The sequence below is a fragment of the Homo sapiens genome, chromosome 17 (genome assembly GCF_000001405.40).
Source record: "Homo sapiens chromosome 17, GRCh38.p14 Primary Assembly".
In the NCBI taxonomy this organism is placed as follows: Eukaryota; Metazoa; Chordata; class Mammalia; order Primates; family Hominidae; genus Homo; species Homo sapiens.
This window is the reverse complement of record NC_000017.11, coordinates 1,045,624-1,065,387: the sequence shown is the minus strand read 5'-3', so window position 1 is coordinate 1,065,387 and position 19,764 is coordinate 1,045,624. Positions and strand designations below refer to the sequence as shown.

The 19,764-nt window shown below is 55.9% G+C and overlaps 1 protein-coding gene across 6 annotated transcripts in view, besides 2 other annotated features; it reads left to right on the top strand.

Moving 5' to 3' along the window:
* Positions 1-19,764, top strand: part of ABR (ABR activator of RhoGEF and GTPase) — a 226,204-nt gene that overhangs the window by 164,335 nt on the left and 42,105 nt on the right. For all 6 annotated transcript variants that reach the window (NM_001322841.2, NM_001159746.3, NM_021962.5 and 3 more), the window contains 6 exons: positions 6,521-6,643; positions 7,343-7,418; positions 8,286-8,390; positions 9,279-9,353; positions 14,754-14,851; positions 15,207-15,338. In NM_001322841.2, coding sequence (NP_001309770.1) covers positions 6,521-6,643; positions 7,343-7,418; positions 8,286-8,390; positions 9,279-9,353; positions 14,754-14,851; positions 15,207-15,338 — 609 coding nt within the window. The remainder of the gene's footprint in view (positions 1-6,520; positions 6,644-7,342; positions 7,419-8,285; positions 8,391-9,278; positions 9,354-14,753; positions 14,852-15,206; positions 15,339-19,764) is intronic.
* Positions 2,748-3,371: an enhancer, noted in NCBI's record as "OCT4-NANOG-H3K27ac hESC enhancer chr17:965257-965880 (GRCh37/hg19 assembly coordinates)". NCBI's record gives its function as "activates a minimal SCP1, AML or CMV promoter by ChIP-STARR-seq in primed H9 embryonic stem cells {active_cell/tissue: H9 hESC(primed)}" and the evidence as "EXISTENCE:reporter gene assay evidence [ECO:0000049][PMID:30033119]".
* Positions 16,210-17,095: an enhancer, noted in NCBI's record as "H3K27ac-H3K4me1 hESC enhancer chr17:951533-952418 (GRCh37/hg19 assembly coordinates)". NCBI's record gives its function as "activates a minimal SCP1, AML or CMV promoter by ChIP-STARR-seq in primed H9 embryonic stem cells {active_cell/tissue: H9 hESC(primed)}" and the evidence as "EXISTENCE:reporter gene assay evidence [ECO:0000049][PMID:30033119]".

Genomic DNA, 19,764 nt, shown 5'->3' with positions numbered 1-19,764 from the left:
GGAACATGCATAGCCCTCAGTTCACGTAACAGCAGCATCTAGAGGAACATGCATAGCCCTCAGTTCACGTAACAACAGTGTCTAGAGGAACATGCATAGCCCTCAGTTCACGTAACAGCAGTGTCTAGAGGAACATGCATAGCCCTCAGTTCACGTAACAGCAGTGTCTAGAGGAACATGCATAGCCCTCAGTTCACATAACAACAGCGTCTAGAGGAACATGCATAGCCCTCAGTTCACGTAACAGCAGCGTCTAGAGGAACATGCATAGCCCTCAGTTCACGTAACAGCAGCGTCTAGAGGAACATGCATAGCCCTCAGTTCACGTAACAACAGTGTCTAGAGGAACATGCATAGCCCTCAGTTCACGTAACAGCAGTGTCTAGAGGAACATGCATAGCCCTCAGTTCACGTAACAGCAGTGTCTAGAGGAACATGCATAGCCCTCAGTTCACATAACAGCAGTGTCTAGAGGAACATGCATAGCCCTCAGTTCACATAACAACAGTGTCTAGAGGAACATGCATAGCCCTCAGTTCATGTAACAACAGTGTCTAGAGGAACATGCATAGCCCTCAGTTCACATAACAACAGTGTCTAGAGGAACATGCATAGCCCTCAGTTCACATAACAACAGTGTCTAGAGGAACATGCATAGCCCTCAGTTCACGTAACAGCAGTGTCTAGAGGAACATGTATAGCCCTCAGTTCACGTAACAACAGTGTCTAGAGGAACATGCATAGCCCTCAGTTCACATAACAACAGTGTCTAGAGGAACATACATAGCCCTCAGTTCACATAACAGCAGTGTCTAGAGGAACATGCATAGCCCTCAGTTCACATAACAACAGTGTCTAGAGGAACATGCATAGCCCTCAGTTCACATAACAACAGTGTCTAGAGGAACATGCATAGCCCTCAGTTCACGTAACAGCAGTGCTAGAGGAACATGCATAGCCCTCAGTTCACATAACAACAGTGTCTAGAGGAACATGCATAGCCCTCAGTTCACATAACAGCAGTGTCTAGAGGAACATGCATAGCCCTCAGTTCACATAACAACAGCGTCTGGAGGAACATGCATAGCCCTCAGTTCACATAACAACAGTGTCTGGAGGAACATGCATAGCCCTCAGTTTACATAACAGCAGCGTCTAGAGGAACATGCATAGCCCTCAGTTCACGTAACAACAGTGTCTAGAGGAACATGCATAGCCCTCAGTTCACATAACAGTGTCTAGAGGAACATGCATAGCCCTCAGTTCACATAACAACAGTGTCTAGAGGAACATGTATAGCCCTCAGTTCACGTAACAACAGTGTCTAGAGGAACATGCATAGCCCTCAGTTCACATAACAACAGTGTCTAGAGGAACATGCATAACCCTCAGTTCACATAACAGTGTCTAGAGGAACATGCATAGCCCTCAGTTCACATAACAACAGTGTCTAGAGGAACATGCATAGCCCTCAGTTCACATAACAACAGTGTCTGGAGGAACATGCATAGCCCTCAGTTCACGTAACAGCAGTGCTAGAGGAACATGCATAGCCCTCAGTTCACGTAACAACAGTGTCTAGAGGAACATGCATAGCCCTCAGTTCACATAACAGCAGTGTCTAGAGGAACATGCATAGCCCTCAGTTCACATAACAACAGTGTCTGGAGGAACATGCATAGCCCTCAGTTCACATAACAACAGTGTCTAGAGGAACATGCATAGCCCTCAGTTCACATAACAGCAGCGTCTAGAGGAACATGCATAGCCCTCAGTTCACGTAACAACAGTGTCTAGAGCAACATGCATAGCCCTCAGTTCACATAACAGTGTCTAGAGGAACATGCATAGCCCTCAGTTCACATAACAACAGTGTCTAGAGGAACATGCATAGCCCTCAGTTCACATAACAACAGCGTCTAGAGGAACATGCATAGCCCTCAGTTCACGTAACAACAGTGTCTAGAGGAACATGCATAGCCCTCAGTTCACGTAACAGCAGTGTCTAGAGGAACATGTATAGCCCTCAGTTCACGTAACAACAGTGTCTAGAGGAACATGCATAGCCCTCAGTTCACGTAACAGCAGTGTCTAGAGGAACATGCATAGCCCTCAGTTCACGTAACAGCAGTGTCTAGAGGAACATGTATAGCCCTCAGTTCACGTAACAACAGTGTCTAGAGGAACATGCATAGCCCTCAGTTCACGTAACAGCAGTGCTAGAGGAACATGCATAGCCCTCAGTTCACATAACAACAGTGTCTAGAGGAACATGCATAGCCCTCAGTTCACATAACAGCAGTGTCTAGAGGAACATGCATAGCCCTCAGTTCACATAACAACAGCGTCTAGAGGAACATGCATAGCCCTCAGTTCACATAACAACAGTGTCTAGAGGAACATGCATAGCCCTCAGTTCACATAACAGCAGCATCTAGAGGAACATGCATAGCCCTCAGTTCACGTAACAACAGCATCTAGAGGAACATGCATAGCCCTCAGTTCACATAACAGTGTCTAGAGGAACATGCATAGCCCTCAGTTCACATAACAACAGTGTCTAGAGGAACATGCATAGCCCTCAGTTCACATAACAACAGCGTCTAGAGGAACATGCATAGCCCTCAGTTCACGTAACAACAGTGTCTAGAGGAACATGCATAGCCCTCAGTTCACATAATAGCAGTGTCTAGAGGAACATGTATAGCCCTCAGTTCACATAACAACAGTGTCTAGAGGAACATGCATAGCCCTCAGTTCACATAACAACAGTGTCTAGAGGAACATGCATAACCCTCAGTTCACATAACAGTGTCTAGAGGAACATGCATAGCCCTCAGTTCACATAACAACAGTGTCTAGAGGAACATGCATATCCCTCAGTTCACATAACAACAGTGTCTGGAGGAACATGCATAGCCCTCAGTTCACGTAACAGCAGTGCTAGAGGAACATGCATAGCCCTCAGTTCACGTAACAACAGTGTCTAGAGGAACATGCATAGCCCTCAGTTCACATAACAGCAGCGTCTAGAGGAACATGCATAGCCCTCAGTTCACATAACAACAGTGTCTGGAGGAACATGCATAGCCCTCAGTTCACATAACAACAGTGTCTAGAGGAACATGCATAGCCCTCAGTTCACATAACAGCAGCGTCTAGAGGAACATGCATAGCCCTCAGTTCACGTAACAACAGTGTCTAGAGGAAGGCACCACGGGAGGAGCATCCCTGTGAGTGGAGGAAGGGCCTGGAGCGGTTTGGTCAGCTTGGTCTGTTTTCCTCACCTCTCAGGTTCAGCTTAGGCCTCACCACCCCTGGGAAGCTTCTCTGACACCCACGCCCACCACAGTCTTGGTTGGGTGCCCTGTCCCCAGATCCTGTGGCTTTTTGTTCACCTGTGGCTTTGCTTAAATGGTACTGAATTGTAATTGCATTGTCAGACTCCTCTCTTCCCCACTGGAATTTGAACTCCAGGGACAGCGCTATTTTCTTCTGTTCCATGTTCCTCATATTCGACACGTAGAAAACAGGTGGTTAGGGCCCAGCATGGTGGTTTACACCGGTAATCCCAGTACTTTGGGAGGCTGAGACGGGTGGGTCACTTGAGGCCAGGAGTTCAAGACCAGCCTGGCCAACATCATGAAGCCCCGTCTCTATGAAAAATACAAAAGTTAGCCGGGTGTGGTGGTGGGTGCCTGTAATCCCAGCCACATGGGAGGCTGAGGCAAAAGAATTGTGTGAACCCGGGAGGTGGAGGTTGCAGTGAGCCGAGATCACGCCACTGCACTCCAGCCTGGGCAACAGAGTGAGTGGGACTCCATCTCAAAAAAAAAAAGGCACTTAGTAAACAAACAATTATTGAAGAAAACATAACCAGATGGCCTCTCTGAGGATCCTTTCAACTCAAGCATCTCCCTTTGAACAGGGGAAAGCAAGATCACCATTACAGCCCCAGGAGTGTTCAGGGCTGGGGGATGTCCTAGGACAGAGGGTCCAACTGGTGGTACATCTGCCCAGAGGGCTTCCTCGCCAGCACAGCTGTCCCCCTCCTGAACGGCTGGGCCCTGCCCACAGTGCCCGCCCAGGAGCATCCTGCGTGCCTGTTTCCCACCCGCCCCTGGGAGGCTTGCTGCCTCCCCGTTGCCCCAGCTGTGCAGACGTGGCCTTGTGCCCAGTCGAGTCAACAGTCAACACTCAGTGAGCCCCACTGGCTGTGCTGCCTGGGGTGTGCCGGGTGCCTCATGTATATCCCTGTCCAGTGGAGGAAGCAGACACGCCCCTTGCTGACCACAGAGTGTGGTACATGTGAGTCACTGGAGAGGCACAGGTGCCGTCCTCTGAGTCACAGAAGAAGCAGTGATTTGTTTTTTGTTTTTTGTTTTTTTTTGAGATGGAGTCTCACTTTGTCACTGTCGCCCAGGCTGGAGTGCAGTGGCACAATCTCGGCTCACTGCAACCTCCACCTCCCGGGTTCAAGCAATTCTTCTACCTCAGCCTCCTGAGTAGCTGGGAATAAAGGCGTCCGCCACCACGCCTGGCTAATTTTTTGTATTTTTAGTAGAGACGGGGTTTCACCGTGTTAGCCAGGCTGGTCTCAAACTCCTGACCTCATGATCCACCCGCCCCGGCCTCCCAAAGTGCTGGGATGACAGGTGTGAGCCACCGTGCTCAGCCTTGTTCTCTTGATAATAATTTTTTAAATTTTCATGTTTTTTCTAATCCCCAATATAATACTGGCTGGTTTTAATGAGAAATGCTCGTAGTACCAGCATGTACAGGGTAAAGCTGGTCGCCACTCACCTCCCACTGCTGACAGTTTGAGGTGTATTCTTCTGAACTCTTCTTTGCTTATGCTGGTGTGCGCCCGCGTGTCCAATGAGACTAGACTACACGTGCTGTTTTGCAACTTCAGCATTTTACTCCACAGTGGGTCTTTGAGCCCTTTGGATGTATCAGATTCTTTTTCTTTCTTTTTGAGGTAGAGTCTCGCTCTGTCACCCAGGCTGGAGTGCACTGGTGAGATTTGGGCTCACTGGAACTTCCACCTCCCGGGTTCAAGCGATTCTCGTGCCTCAGCCTCCCGAGTAGCTGGGATTACAGGCGCCCGCCACCACGCCCGGTAGTTTTTGCATTTTTAGTAGAGACGGAGTTTCACCACGTTGGCCAGGGTGGTCTCGAACTCCTGACCTCAAACGATCCGCCCACCTCGGCCTCCCAAAGTGCTGGGATTACAGGCGTGAGCCACCGCGCCTGGCAGTATCAGATTCTTTTTAACAACTGCCTCCTGCTCTGTCGCTTGGCTGCATACAAATGTTTTTGGGTGTTTGGATTGTCTCTGATTCTTCGCTCTTAGCAGGCAAGTCAACAGTAAACATCACTGCGCAGGTGCCTCTGCAGTAGGTTCCCTCCAGGTGGGATGGGCAGGGCAGGGTGAGTGTGCGCTTAATTGACAGGCTTTTACCTCTGAAAAAGCTGTGACTGGTGGCATTCCCCCTGCGGTGTGTGAGGGTGACTGTCCCCCACAGTGTCACAACACTGGCTGTGAACATTCTTTACAATTTTGCCAGTCCAGTGGGTTAAAAAGAACAAAACACCATAGAGGTGAATTCTAACTGAGGAGCTTGAGGATGGCCTTGGGAGCTGAGACTTGAAGCATAATGGTGGTTAATAAAAGGGAGGGGGTCCTTTACGAAACAGACAGAAACTTGGAACATTGAGGGAGCAGGCTCTGCCCGCAGAGGATGAATGTCTGGTGAGAGGGGGAGGCTGAGCCGACGGGACCTGGTGGGTTGTCTGCCGGGCAGGGAGGCTGGAACCCTGCCATGGGGGCCTTGGTGCCAGGCTAGCAGGTGGGGCTTCAGGCTGAAAGGTGTCTGAGGTTTCTTTAAGCAGGTGTCTCTGTTGTACCCAGGATTTAATGTGTAGAGGCAGCAGAGTGACAGTACAGAGAGGTTAATACTACTGTAATATTTGTATTATTTAGGGTTCTCAAGAGAAGGAGGCATAGCACCCCGCCCAGGGCCACGTGGAGAGGTGCCAGCTTTGAACAGGAGGCAGGAATGGAAAGAAAGTGTGGCCACAGCTTTTCTGTGGAGAAACAGGGCAGGGAAAGGGCTTGGCACCAGCTGGCTTCCGTTATGTCGGCAGCCCTGGGCTAGAGGAGTGGTCTCTGGTGACCTGGTCCCTGGCCCTGGGTGACGTGGGGCAGAGGAGATGCTGGCTTGGCGAGTGAGCGTCAGGTAGAGAAGGTGGTTGGGGACATGGGCTCTGGATCAGTGGGTGTGTGTATGAAAGCTGTGCTCATAGGGCATCACTGACAGGCTTAGGAATTAGTGAGCCCTGTGGGGGAGCAGTTTCTCACCCAGCTACCCGCCTCTCCTGCCACAAGATGTCAAAACATCACGAAATACGGAAAATGTAAAGAGCATGTTAACACACAGTGGAGTGTCGTGCTTAGTGCTGCTCGTGAGAAAGGCCCGAGTGTGAGGGGAACCCTCTGTGTCCCCATCTCCTGCAGAAAGCCAACAAAGGCCAGAGCCGGGCCATCGAGCGCCTGAAGAAGAAGATGTTTGAGAATGAGTTCCTGCTGCTGCTCAACTCCCCCACAATCCCGTTCAGGATCCACAATCGGAATGGAAAGGTCAGGATGGGTGGGGGTGGGACCAAGACAGCCCCTTCCTTAGTCCAGAGCAGCCCACTCTGTGGCTCCTGGCCCTGACCTGTACGAACCGGAAACTCAGGCCCCCTCTTCCTGAGGAGGCTGCCATGGCTCCAGCTGTTGACTCGCTCTCCCCTCTCGTGTGGAATGAGTGCCCTCTGCTGGCCGTCCCTGGCACAGCCGCTCCTGTCACCTTGGCTTCCCAGGAAGGAGCTCCCCCTTCACCCACCCACCCCCAGCTGCCTCCTCCTGCAAGGTCAGCTGTGCCTGGATAAGGAGGAGCTTTGGGCCGGGCACAGTGGCTCATGCCTGTCATCCCAGCACTTTGGGAGGCTGAGGCAGGCGAATCACCTGAGGTCAAGAGTTTGAGACCAGCCTGGCCAACATGGCAAAACTCTGTCTCTACTAAAAACACAAAAATTAGCCGGGCGTGGTGGTGGGCACCTGTAATCCCAGCTACTCAGGAGGCTGAGGCAGGAGATTGGCGTGAACCCGGGAGGTGGAGGTTGCAGTGAGCCGAGATTTTGCCATTGCACTAGAGCCTGGGCAACAAGAGCGAGACTCTGTCTCAAAAAAAAAAAAAAAAAAAAGATAAAAGGAGCTTTGTTGGGGTCCCCAGGATCTGGGAGTACGCTTTGCCTGACTGTGGTCACCCACTTTATGCTTATCTCCTCTCTTCAGAGTTACCTGTTCCTACTGTCCTCGGACTACGAGAGGTCAGAGTGGAGAGAAGCAATTCAGAAACTACAGAAGAAGGGTAAATTCCTGCCTCTTCCACGCTCCCCAATGATGTCCGTGGCATTGATGGGCCTTTTGTATTTCTAAGCGTTTCATGTCCAGTATCACGTCTTTGGCCCTCGCAGTCACCCTCAGAGGTGCCAGGGTGAGCGTTTAAGGATGTTACGGATTAATTGAGACCCAAAGAATCTAACTGATTGGCTGAAAGACATGATGATTTAGTCCTGGGACTGGACCCAGAGCCCAGCCTGGGCTTTCTCTCTCTCTCTACCTCTCTCTCTCTCTCACACACACACACACAGAGACACACACACACACACACACACACACATACACACATACACAGAGGCTGGGTACGGTGGCTTACGCCTGTAATCCCAGTCAGGAGTTTGAGATCAGCCTGGGCAACGTGGTGAAACCCCGTCTCTACTAAAAACACAAAAATTAGCCAGGTGTGGTGGTGGGCACCTGTAATCCCAGCTACTCAGGAGGCTGAAGCAGGAGAATCCCTTGAACCTGAGAGGCGGAGGTTGCAGTGAGCTGAGATCACAGCACTGCACTCCAGCCTGGGCGACAGAGTGAGACTCCGTTTAAAAAAAAAACGAAAACAAAACGCATACACCACACACACACACACACACACACACACACACACACACACACACACACACACACACACAAACCTCTTCAGTTAGATTCTCCTACTCTGACCCCTCTCGCAGCATCTACACCAGTCCTGCTGTGTCCACAAATCCTTCCCCCTCCCTCGCAAGGACCAAGTCTGCCCCAGGGATTAAGCCGTCTTCCTGCAGCAGCCCCCAGGGAAGAGCAGCCGGTCCTGGTGGACCAGTGCCCACGCTCCCTTCTCTCTCGGCTCTCCCTCCAGATCTCCAGGCCTTTGTCCTGAGCTCAGTGGAGCTCCAGGTGCTCACAGGATCCTGTTTCAAGCTTAGGACTGTACACAACATTCCTGTCACCAGCAATAAAGACGGTAAGCTCGGGAACCAGAGGTGGCCCAACCGGCAGGTCCCAGCCCTCAGAGCGTGGCCGGCTTCCCGTAAGGACTCAGACAGACATGTGGCTGTAAATGGCTGATCCCTGCTCGGCTGTGCTGAGACTGTTGAGTGGCCAGGACACAGCTTGGGTAGGGGTGACTGTCTACTGAGTTCCCAGATGACCCCAGCTTTTCCTTGGGCCCCTCTGTCTGGCTTGGGAGAACTGGCACCCTGGTGCACTGAGATTGTGCTGTTAATATATTCATGAGAGAGCAGACCCGGTAGATAAAATGGTGTATGGGAAATGAGGCTGGAAGTTTCCAGGGACCAGCTCTTGAAAGGCCTTGAATCCCAAGCAAGGGAGTTTGGAATTCATGCTGTAAGCCCGGGAGTCTGGGGGGGTTTTGAGCAGTGGGGAGCTGTGATCAGGGCTGGGAACTGACCGGAGTGGGTGTATTCTAGCTGCCTGTGTGCTGGGAAAGGGTCCACTTTGTGAACGGGGTCCTGAAGGCAAGCTTTCCTCGACATAAATCATTAGCAGAATGATTTATCATATTGGTCAGTTTTCAGTGCCAGGATAGGCAGGATTTGGAGGGAGAGACAGTACCCATGGGGAATGGTACTAAGTCCCTGGGCCAGGATGGTGGGTGTGCTGGACCCCCCCAGGCTGAGTGGAGGAGAGAAGGACCCCCTAGCCCTACCCCGGGCAGCTCACATATAAGGCCGCCGTGGCCTTCGGAAACTTTTTCATCTGGCCACCAGGTGGTGATGTTGGACCAAGACTCAGCTGAGTCTCATACCCCGTCTGCCTCCCGCCGGCCTGGGGTGGAGGCTGAGGGGATCCGCTGACCACCCTCTGCCCTGGGGGCTTTTCTCTCTTGCAGACGATGAGTCTCCAGGACTCTATGGCTTCCTTCATGTCATCGTCCACTCTGCCAAGGGATTTAAGCAATCAGCCAGTAAGTGCCCTGGCCAGGACGAGGTTGGGTGGGCCATTGTGGATTCTGCACTGCTCTGCCCAGGATGGGGCCCTGCCAGCACGCCTTTAGACATGGGGCATTCCCCTGGAGGCCAGAAACCAGCTCCTCTTGGCAGGGAGGTCACCCCTGGCCTTTGTCTCCAAAGTCCTCTTTCTCAAGCCCTCCCTGAAGCTGTCTGAAACCTAGGGGCCGGGCGCGGTGGCTCACCCCTGTAATCCCAGCACTTTGGGAGGCCCAGGCGGGCGGATCACGAGGTCAGGAGTTCGAGACCATCCGGGCCAACATGGTGAAACCCCGTCTCTACTAAAAATACTAAAATTAGCGTGGGCATGGCGGTGGACGCCTGTAGTCCCAGCTACTTGGGAGGCTGAGGCCAGAGAATCCCTTGAACCCGGGAGGCGGAGGTTGCTGTGAGCTGAGATCATGGCATTGCACTCCACCCTGGGCGACAGAGCGAGAATCCGTCTCAAAAAAAAAAAAAAGAAACCGAGTGCGACAAACACGTGGACTCCAACTTCATATCTGAGGGCGACAAACACGTGGACTCCAACTTCATATCTGCCCATGACAAGCTGTGTGACCTTGGGCAAGTTTCTTAACCTCTCTGGGCCTCCACTAAAAGGCAGTCACGCTTGTGAATTTTGACCCGAGAGCAGGCTGGGATATGATCGTGTGTGTGCAACGCTGGTGTGCTGCCACGCTCATCGCTTTTTCTCCCCTTCCCCCTTGTGGGTTCCTCATACTAAATCTGTTTTTAGTGTCTCACAAAGTAGGATTGCACTTTTTAATTTTTAAAAAATTTTTTTTTAGAGACAGGTTCTCCCCATGTTGGCCAGGCTGGTCTTGAACTCCTGGGCTCAAGCCATCCTCCCACCTCAGCCTCCCAAAGTGCTGAGATTACAGGCGTGAGCTGCTGCGCCCGGCCTGGTTGCGCTTTTTATCTACCTGTTATCCACACGGGAATCTGTGAGTCAGTTAGACAGCTAATAGTTTCTACCCATTTGCCAGAGGAGGTAACCGAGTCACAGAGAGGAGAAAAGACTTAACATCACAGAGGATCAGAAACCCTGACTCTCTCCCTCTCCACCTGCCCCTCCCACTCCCTGCTCTTCACTGGCAGGTGGGGTCTGCCCTCACCCCTCCCTGCAGCGCCCCACACAGAGGTGACTCCCCGGGCCGTTAGAGCAGCCTTTCCCAGGAAGCCTCCCTGAGTTCCTGGGGGCAAACTGGCCTCCCTTCTTTGTCCCTTCTTTGTGCCCACATCCCCTCAGGTTCCTTGTGCCCCCATCCCCTCAGGTTCCTTGTGCCCCCATCCCCTGAGGTTCCTTGTGCCCCCATCCCCTCAGGTTCCTTGTGCCCCCATCCCCTGAGGTTCCTTGTGCCCACATCCCCTGAGGTTCCTTGTGCCCCCATCCCCTCAGGTTCCTTGTGCCCCCATCCCCTCAGGTTCTTTGTGCCCCCGTCCCCTCAGGTTCTTTGTGCCCCCATCCCCTGAGGTTCCTTGTATCCCCATCCCTTTGAGGTTCCTTGTGCCCCCATCCCCTGAGGTTCCTTGTGCCCCCATCCTGCTCAGGGCAAGCTGGTTATGGCACCTGTCATGCTGTTTTGTCACTTAACAATTTGCGTCTCCCACTGTGAGTTCTCTGAGGGCGGGAACCAGGTCTCCTTTACCCTGGGATGCATGGGAGCTCAGAAATGTGGAATGAAGTCGTTAATTTACACAGCACCTACCGTGCACCTGGAGAAGGTGAGAACATGGCTGGCGTGTGGACGTACTCACATGTGCAAAGCCTGTGGCGTGTTCAGAGCCTCTCAGTCTCACGGTCCGCTCTGAGCCTCCGGCATCCCGCCGAGGTCACGGAAACCATCCCTGTTTTACACACGAGGACGCCGAGGCTCGGAGGGGCTCAAGGTTCCTTCCTGGAGTCACACAGTAGCAGGTGGTGCAGCAGAATCCACGTCTTCCGGCACCAGAGCCGGAGCTCTAACCTTTTGGGCACTTCTCGATGTCTGGCCGGGAACACCACACGGTCCCTCAGGCTGCTTGTTACCGTGGAAGCTTCCTGAACTCTCTCCAGACCCACAGACCTCCCTTCTTGGGGGCTGCCGCTGAGGAGCTTCTGGCTAGTGAGCTCTGAAGCACTGTCCCACCCATGTCTGGACCAGGCGCCACCACTCCATGTCCCCAGATGCCGCCCCTCCCTCTCCTGCTTCCCGTTGGCCGGGAGGTCCTCGCCTCAGGGAGCCGACCCGTGGCCTCCCAGCCTGGGCGGGTGTCAGAGCCGGCTGAGCTGCTCCAAAATCTCTCTTTACCCCCAGATTATCCTCACTCCCTTCGCCGCCGCCACCCCTGACCCACTCATATGTCTGTTCTCACTCAGAGGTGAGGCCCTGTGTCTTCAGCCGTGGTAAACTCAGGACCTCTGGACAGGCAGGCCCAGGGTGTAGGCACCATGACTTTTCCTGCTGTGCAGACAGGAACCTGGGGAGAGAAGGGAGGTGATCTGTGCAGAGCTGGGGTGTGGACCCAGATGGTCTGACTCCGGAACCCTCGCTCTGACCCTGTGAGCCGTCCCCAGCTCCTTCCGGAACCCTCCCTCTGACCCTGTGAACCCTCCCCCAGCCCGTTCCGGAACCCTCCCTCTGACCCTGTGAGCCCTCCCCCAGCCCCTTCTCGAACCCTCCCTCTGACCCTGTGAACCCTCCCCCAGCCCCTTCCGGAACCCTCCCTCTGACCCTGTGAACCCTCCCCCAGCCCCTTCCGGAACCCTCCCTCTGACCCTGTGAGCCCTCCCCCAGCCCCTTCCGGAACCCTCCCTCTGACCCTGTGACCCCTCCCCCAGCCCCTTCCGGAACCCTCCCTCTGACCCTGTGACCCCTCCCCCAGCCCCTTCCGGAACCCTCCCTCTGACCCTGTGACCCCTCCCCCAGCCCCTTCCGGAACCCTCCCTCTGACCCTGTGAACCCTCCCCCAGCCCCTTCCGGAACCCTCCCTCTGACCCTGTGAGCCCTCCCCCAGCCCCTTCCGGAACCCTCGCTCTGACCCTGTGACCCCTCCCCCAGCCCCTTCCGGAACCCTCCCTCTGACCCTGTGAGCCCTCCCCCAGCCCCTTCCTGAACCCTCCCTCTGACCCTGTGACCCCTCCCCCAGCCCCTTCCGGAACCCTCCCTCTGACCCTGTGAACCCTCCCCCAGCCCCTTCCGGAACCCTCCCTCTGACCCTGTGAACCCTCCCCCAGCCCCTTCCGGAACCCTCCCTCTGACCCTGTGAGCCGTCCCCCAGCCCCTTCCGGAACCCTCCCTCTGACCCTGTGAACCCTCCCCCAGCCCCTTCCGGAACCCTCCCTCTGACCCTGTGACCCCTCCCCCAGCCCCTTCCGGAACCCTCCCTCTGACCCTGTGACCCCTCCCCCAGCCCCTTCCGGAACCCTCCCTCTGACCCTGTGACCCCTCCCCCAGCCCCTTCCGGCACCCTCCCTCTGACCCTGTGAACCCTCCCCCAGCCCCTTCCGGAACCCTCCCTCTGACCCTGTGAGCCCTCCCCCAGCCCCTTCCGGAACCCTCCCTCTGACCCTGTGAACCCTCCCCCAGCCCCTTCCGGAACCCTCCCTCTGACCCTGTGAGCCCTCCCCCAGCCCCTTCCGGAACCCTCCCTCTGACCCTGTGAGCCCTCCCCAGCCCCTCGAGGAGGGGCTCACACCGAGATCAATCCATGATGACAGCACTTCATGGCCCGTCTCAAACACACAGGCCCACTCCCTGGTCTGGCCCAGGCTGGGGTGCTCAGGGCCTCTGTGTTGTTCACCTGCAAATCCCCAGCCCCGTTCTGTGTGTTCTGAGGCCCACCTGGGTCTTCTTTCTGTTGCTCCAGCTGGAGGCTTCTTGGGGTAGCTGCACTGTCCTTTCTGCAGGAAAGCTGGTTTTTTTGGTTTTTTTTTTTTTGAGAAAGAGTCACTTGGTCGCCCAGGCTGGAGTGCAGTGGTGCCATCTCAGCTCACTGCAACTTCCACACCCCAGGTTCAAGCGATTGTCCTGCCTCAGCCTCCCGAGTAGCTGGGACTACAGGCATGTGCCACCACGCCGGGCTCACTTTTGTATTTTTAGTAGAGATGGGGTTTCACCATGTTGGTCAGGCTGGTCTCAAACTCCTGACCTCAGGTGATCTGCCCACCTTGGCCTCCCAAAGTGCTGGGATTTACAGGCGTGAGCCACCTTGCCCGGCCAGGAAAGCTGTTCTGATGGAGAATGGCCCAGCTGGGCAGCTGCAGGGGCTAAGTGGAGTAAGCCACCTGCACTGTATGCCCGCACTGTGACCTCTGACGTTGTTTCACGCTGCAGAGGGTTGGCCATAGTGTCCCAAAGGCACCTCCCACACCACCTCTGGTACCCTGGGAACAACCTCGGCATCTCCCTGGAGGTGGGAGGACTGCTGGGGTCCGAGCCCAGGGCGGGTGTGGGTTTGCAGAGGGCCTGGGGTCCGTGCCGGTGCTGTGGCCTCAGCAGTTGGGTCCCAAGGTAGATTTTCAGCCTGAAGGCCAGGGTGGAAGATGGAAATGCCGGGGAAAGCCCCCGGCCCTGCCCTCCCGCCCCAGCCCTCCACTGCCTTGTTACCTGGAGCGCTTGGTGGTGGTGGGAGCCTCGTTCACCGTGTGCCAGCTGGGTTCCCAGCCCTGTTCTTGGTACTGCGGGTACACCGGCAGGCAGGAAAACCCAGGCTTCTCTCCACATGGTGTTTACGTCGTGGGGGGAGAGAGACTAGGGACGCACGAGTAGAGAAGATCCCTTTGGTTTATGTTAAGTGCAGCGGAGGAAACCACAGCACCCTGGGCTTGGGGATGTGGGCGTTGTTGGTCGTCACCGCGGCAGGGGATGCTCCGAGCATTCAGGACCCAGAGGCAGGGCTGCTAAACGCCTCCCACCCCAAATGCCGCTGTTGAGGCCTGGGCACCCATGTTACGGGGAGAGGTGGCTCCAGGGCGGTCAGTGAAGAGTTTGTGGTGTCGTCTCCATGGTGAGGAAGATGTGGAGACGGAACAGTCAAGGGCCCTTTAGAGGGAGGAGGAGGCCAGAGTGTGGGGAGGGCCGAGGTGGGAAGGGCAGAGTGTGGGGAGGGCCGAGGTGGGAAGGGCAGAGTGTGGGGAGGGCTGAGGTAGGAAGGGCAGAGTGTGGGGTGAGCCGAGGTGGGGAGGGCTGAGCCCCTAAGAAGGGGGCAGGGGAGAAGCCAGATGGTCCCGGGCTTCAGGGAGGAGAGAGCCAAGATGCCATCCGTGGGGACGTTGGAAAGGACAGATGCGATGTCCCCCTCCATCCTGAGTGCCGCCCCAGCTGCCCCACCCTGGCCCCACTCACTCAGTATCTCCGTCTGTCCTTCCCCCACAGACCTGTACTGTACCCTGGAGGTGGATTCCTTCGGCTATTTTGTCAGCAAAGCCAAAACCAGGGTGTTCCGGGACACAGCGGAGCCCAAGTGGGATGAGGTGAGTGGCAGGGGCTGGCATCTCTGTGGGGACCCCACCACCCCGTGCTCGTGGCTTGTCTGCTGGGGACGGCCAGCCCATTGGTTGGACCAGCTATGTCTGCACCCCCCTTTCTGCTCCCTGCTCCTCTGGCTTCTGATCGCGGTGTGTGTCTGGGTGTCAGACCCTGTGGTGTCAGCTCAGGCCCCCAGACTCCAGGGGTGATGGGAGGCCTCTGGGAGCTCCAGAAAATCTGACGTGTCCTTCGTGGGCCGTGCTTACTCCCTCCTCCTTGCAAAGCTGAGGCACGCACCTGCCGGAAAGCCAGGCCTCCCAGCTTCGGAGGTTCAGGGCCCTTTGTCCCATCTTTCCCCAGGAGTTTGAGATCGAGCTGGAGGGCTCCCAGTCCCTGAGGATCCTGTGCTATGAGAAGTGCTATGACAAGACCAAGGTCAACAAGGACAACAATGAGATCGTGGACAAGATCATGGGCAAAGGACAGATCCAGGTGAGGCCAGGGCGCCGGGGCGAGGCTGAGGGAGCCTCCAGGAGGTGGTTCCAGTTGAAAAGGAATTCTGGTCAAGGAGCCTGCTCTTTCGTGATTTTGGTTCCAAGCTGGTTGGAGGAAAGTTCCCAGGAGGTGGTTCTCCCCTCCCTGCTAGAGGTGGCTGCCTGTTGTGGCCCCGGAAGCCCAGGCGTGTGCGTGGCTCCTCAGGTGGGTCATCTGCGCTTCTGCAAGATGGAAACAACCAGCTTTGTTTTCACACGCCAGCTTTAGTCTATGGGTGGTTGTTTCCCGGAACGCCATGTTGAGAAGGACTCAGAGGCTGCGTCGGTGAACGGGAGGGAGGAATGCTGTGTGTGAGGAGCCGTGTCTGCCATTGACGGGGGACCGGAGTTAGGCACACGGACCAGGCGTTTGCTCTTCTGCCCGAAAGACTTAGGGTCCTGCTGGTTGGCTTGGGGGGAGGGGGGTCTCTGACTTGTTGTTAGGGTGGCCGGACCTTACTCAGCTGCGTTGGGAGTCTGTGGCTTCGGGTGGGGACTCTGGGTGTTAGTAGAGGCTGCACCTCGGGTTAAGGGTATTTATGCTTCTGGGTGCGGTGGCTCACGCCTGTAATCCCAGCACCTTGGGAGGCCGAGGTGGGTGGATCACGAGGTCAGGAGTTCGAGACCAGCCTGGCCAACATGGCGAAACCCCATCTCTACTAAAAATACAAAAATTAGCAGGTCGTGGTGGCGGGCGCCTGTAATCCCAGCTACTCAGTAGGCTGAGGCAGGAGAATCGCTTGAACCCAGGAGGTAGAGGTTGCAGTGAGCTGAGATCGCGCCTGGGTGATGGAGTCAGACCGTGTCTCCAAAAAAATAAAAATAAATAAAAACAGCATTTATGCCTCAACTGTGCTTTTGGCTCCCTATAAACATATATAGGGAAAAGGCCTCTGTGTGTGCAGCCTGTGTCTCTGAAACATTCTGCCAATTTTGAAGATGGCTGCTATTCACCAACCTATTAAGAGAAGTAGGCTTGGGAGCGGGAAAAGGCGTGACGTGGTGGAGCCGCTCACACTCCCGTCTGGTACCTCGTGTGGCCTCGTGCTGTGCCGCAAGTGGTCTGGTTTGGGGGTAGATTCTGTGACCATGAAATGAAGGGAGACGGTAACTGACCCGTACTGAGGTTGAGCCTCGGGCGTTGGGCGTGCTGAGCTTCTTGACAGTGGCCGCAGACGTGATCCAGGCACAGCTGGGCGCCGAGCTTCTTGACCGTGGCCCCGGACGTGATCCAGGCGCAGCTGGGCGCCGAGCTTCTTGACCGTGGCCCCGGACGTGATCCAGGCGCAGCTGGGCGCCGAGCTTCTTGACCGTGGCCCCGGAGGTGATCCAGGCGGCAGCTGGGCGCCGAGCTTCTTGACCGTGGCCCCGGACGTGATCCAGGCGCAGCTGGGCGCCGAGCTTCTTGACCGTGGCCCCGGACGTGATCCAGGCGCAGCTGGGCGCCGAGCTTCTTGACCGTGGCCCAAGAGGTGATCCAGGCGCAGGCTGCGATGGCTCCGTCTACAACAGGGAGCTGAACGATGCTTTTTAGCAGGAAGCATTTGTTCTCTGATGCATTGTCATGGCCACCGAGTTTGGTATCTGGCTCTTACCTGCAGGTCCTTGGTAGCATTGCCCCTGGGGAGCTGTGTGGGTCTCCCACTCGCTGCCCCATCTCAGGCTCCAGTGTTTGAACCAGGGGCCCCACGTGGAGGGGCCTGGCCTCTGCCGCATACGCCCCGTGTTCCTAAACACGTCTCTTTCCGATGCTGTGGGGTCTGCACCCTGCTTCTCAGTACTCGTCACTAGGGAGACAGGGCTGCCAGGCAACTGCCAGCCAGTCCTTCGTGATTTAGGAAATGGGCTCTAGAGATTCAGTCCCTGGGACCTGCTCTCTGTGGGGATAAGGGGAGGGAGCCCCATCTCCCTGTCCCTGGGCTGGGCTAGAGGGACAGGCACGGAAGGGTTCTGGGCTGGCCTGTGCAGCCCCAGGAGACGCCCAGGCAAGAGACGAGTGGTCGCCACGCCACACTCCCTGGGCCACTGGTGGCTGTGGAATAGAAGAGTTACAAGGATGTGCCGGGCAGCCAGCCCCGTGGGCACGGTGGGCCCCAGCCCCTCGAGAACTCAGCTCCCAAGGCCCGAGGGCACATTCCCCCACCTGGACTTCAGCCCCATTGCTTCCCTCCTTCTCACTCAGCTGCACAAGCCCCGGGGGAAACACACCATCAGTCACTGCAAGCCTCTTGGAGACAGGAGCAGATGGAGGCAGTGGGGGAGGGAGGAAGCCAGGTTATGTTTGGCAAAGCAGAAGGCAGAGTCTGGTAAGGAAAATGTTTCTGTGTTTAAGCTTCGAGGAATGTTAAATGCCTGGGAGTTGATATTAAAAGAAACATAAACCTTCCTGCTGCCAGCTGACCTGGGCCTGTGAGCGGACAGTTCAGAGCCAGAGTCCCCTGCAGGCCTTTGAAGTCCCCCAGCACTCAGCATGCCAAGGCCCGGCCCTGGCCCTCCGCTGCAGAACCATCTCACCAGCCTGCCTTTGGTGGGGGAGGCATGCCCCAGGGGCGGGCTGTGGCTTAGAAAGTCTCGCCCCGTGACTGCCCTCAGAGCCACCGTGGATGGCCAGGCTGGGTGACGAGTCCACACGGAGCTGTTCCCACGAACCCGGGCCCCACGGAGCCACGGAACGGTCTGTCCCCACAGCTTGTCTCTGCCTTCACTCCGGCCACACATCTAAGGAAGGGAGCTGGCACTAGCCTCTGGAATGCAGTCTTTCTGCCCGCCAGCAGGCGCTGAGGACATAGTCGGAGGTGGCTTTGAGATAGGGCCCAGCCCTCGGGGATATTCAGGGGGCCTGTAGGAAAGGCAGGAGGAGGAGGGCAGTCTCTGAGGCCCCCACTTCTCTCTAAGCCCCCTCCCAGCAGCCCATCCAGAGAAAGCAAGGGGCCCTACGGCCTAAGCGCAGGCATTTGCTGCTGTGATGAGGCCCCCACTCTGGGTCGCCTGATGGGGCAGTGGGGCAGGAGTCTCAGCGGCGGGGTGGGGTGGGGGAAGCATTTAGTGACAGACAGACGGCAGCATGCGTCACCAATGTGTGTCCAGCACTTGTGCTCCTGGAGGCCGCTTCCCAAATGCCATCTCCTCGTGTGATCCTTGTCGTGATCCTCCAGGGAGAATGACAGTCCCTCCTCCCCATCTTACAGATGAGGACACTGGGGTACTGAGGTTAAGTACCTTGGCCAAGGCATCTCTGCGTATGGTATGTGGGAAAGGCCATGTTCCCTCCTCTGTGCCATGTCCCCACGTCTCAGGCCTTTGTCAACGAATCCCCCAGCCCGGACAGAGGGCCGTGGCATGGCTAATGGCCTGGAGAAGCAGCTGAGGTGCTGCTTTATGGCATAAGGTGAGCGTCCTTTGTCTTGGAGTCCTCTGGGCAGGGGACACTTGTGCCTGGTGCCCCTGGGAGGAAGGAGAGGAGCACGTGCGGGAAAGAGCAGGAGGCCGAGGTGGGCTGATCACGAGGTCAGGAGTTCGAGACCAGCCTGGCCAACATGGCAAAACCCCTTTCCTACTAAAAATACAAAAATTAGCCAGGCGTGGTGGCACGCGCCCATAATCCCAGCACTTTGGGAGGCCGAGGCGGGCGGATTACAAGGTCGGGAGTTCAAGACCCGCCTGGCCAACATGGCGAAACCCTGTTTCTACTAAAAATACAAGAATTAGCTGGGTGTGGGGCCCACGCCTGTAATCCCAGCACTTTGGGAGGCCGAGGCGGGCGGATTAGGAGGTCGGGAGTTTGAGACTCGCCTGGCCAACATGGCGAAACCCCGTCTCTACTAGAAATATAAAAATTAGCCAGGGGTGGTCGTGCGTGCCTGTAATCCCAGCACTTCGGGAGGCCAGGGCGGGGGGATCACCTGAGGTCAGGAGTTCGAAACCAGCCTGGTCAACGTGGTGAAACCCTGTGTCTACTAAAAAAACAAAAATTAGCCAGGCGTGATGGCGGGCACCTGTAATCCCAGCTACTTGGGAGGCTGAGGGAGGAGAATCACTTGAACCTGGGAGGTGGAGGTTGTAGTGAGCTGAGATTGCTCCATTGCACTCCAGCCTGGACAAGACAGAATGAGATTCTGTCTGGGGAAAAAAAAGAAAAGAAAACAGCAGGAGGGGTACTTAGCATGCGTCTGTGAGGTCCCCAGCCCAGGAGGGGGTCCTGGCCTCCAGGGACCCACTGTCAGATTGGAAAGACGAGTATATTGGTCCATGTTCTCCAGTGAGAAGAATGCTAGATGTCAGCCACAATAGCCGTACACACATAAGCGAGCCCAGGACGAGCCCAGCACGGTGCTAAATGCTTCCATCTGCTGTCTCAGGAGATCTTCCCAGGACCCTGTGGGAGA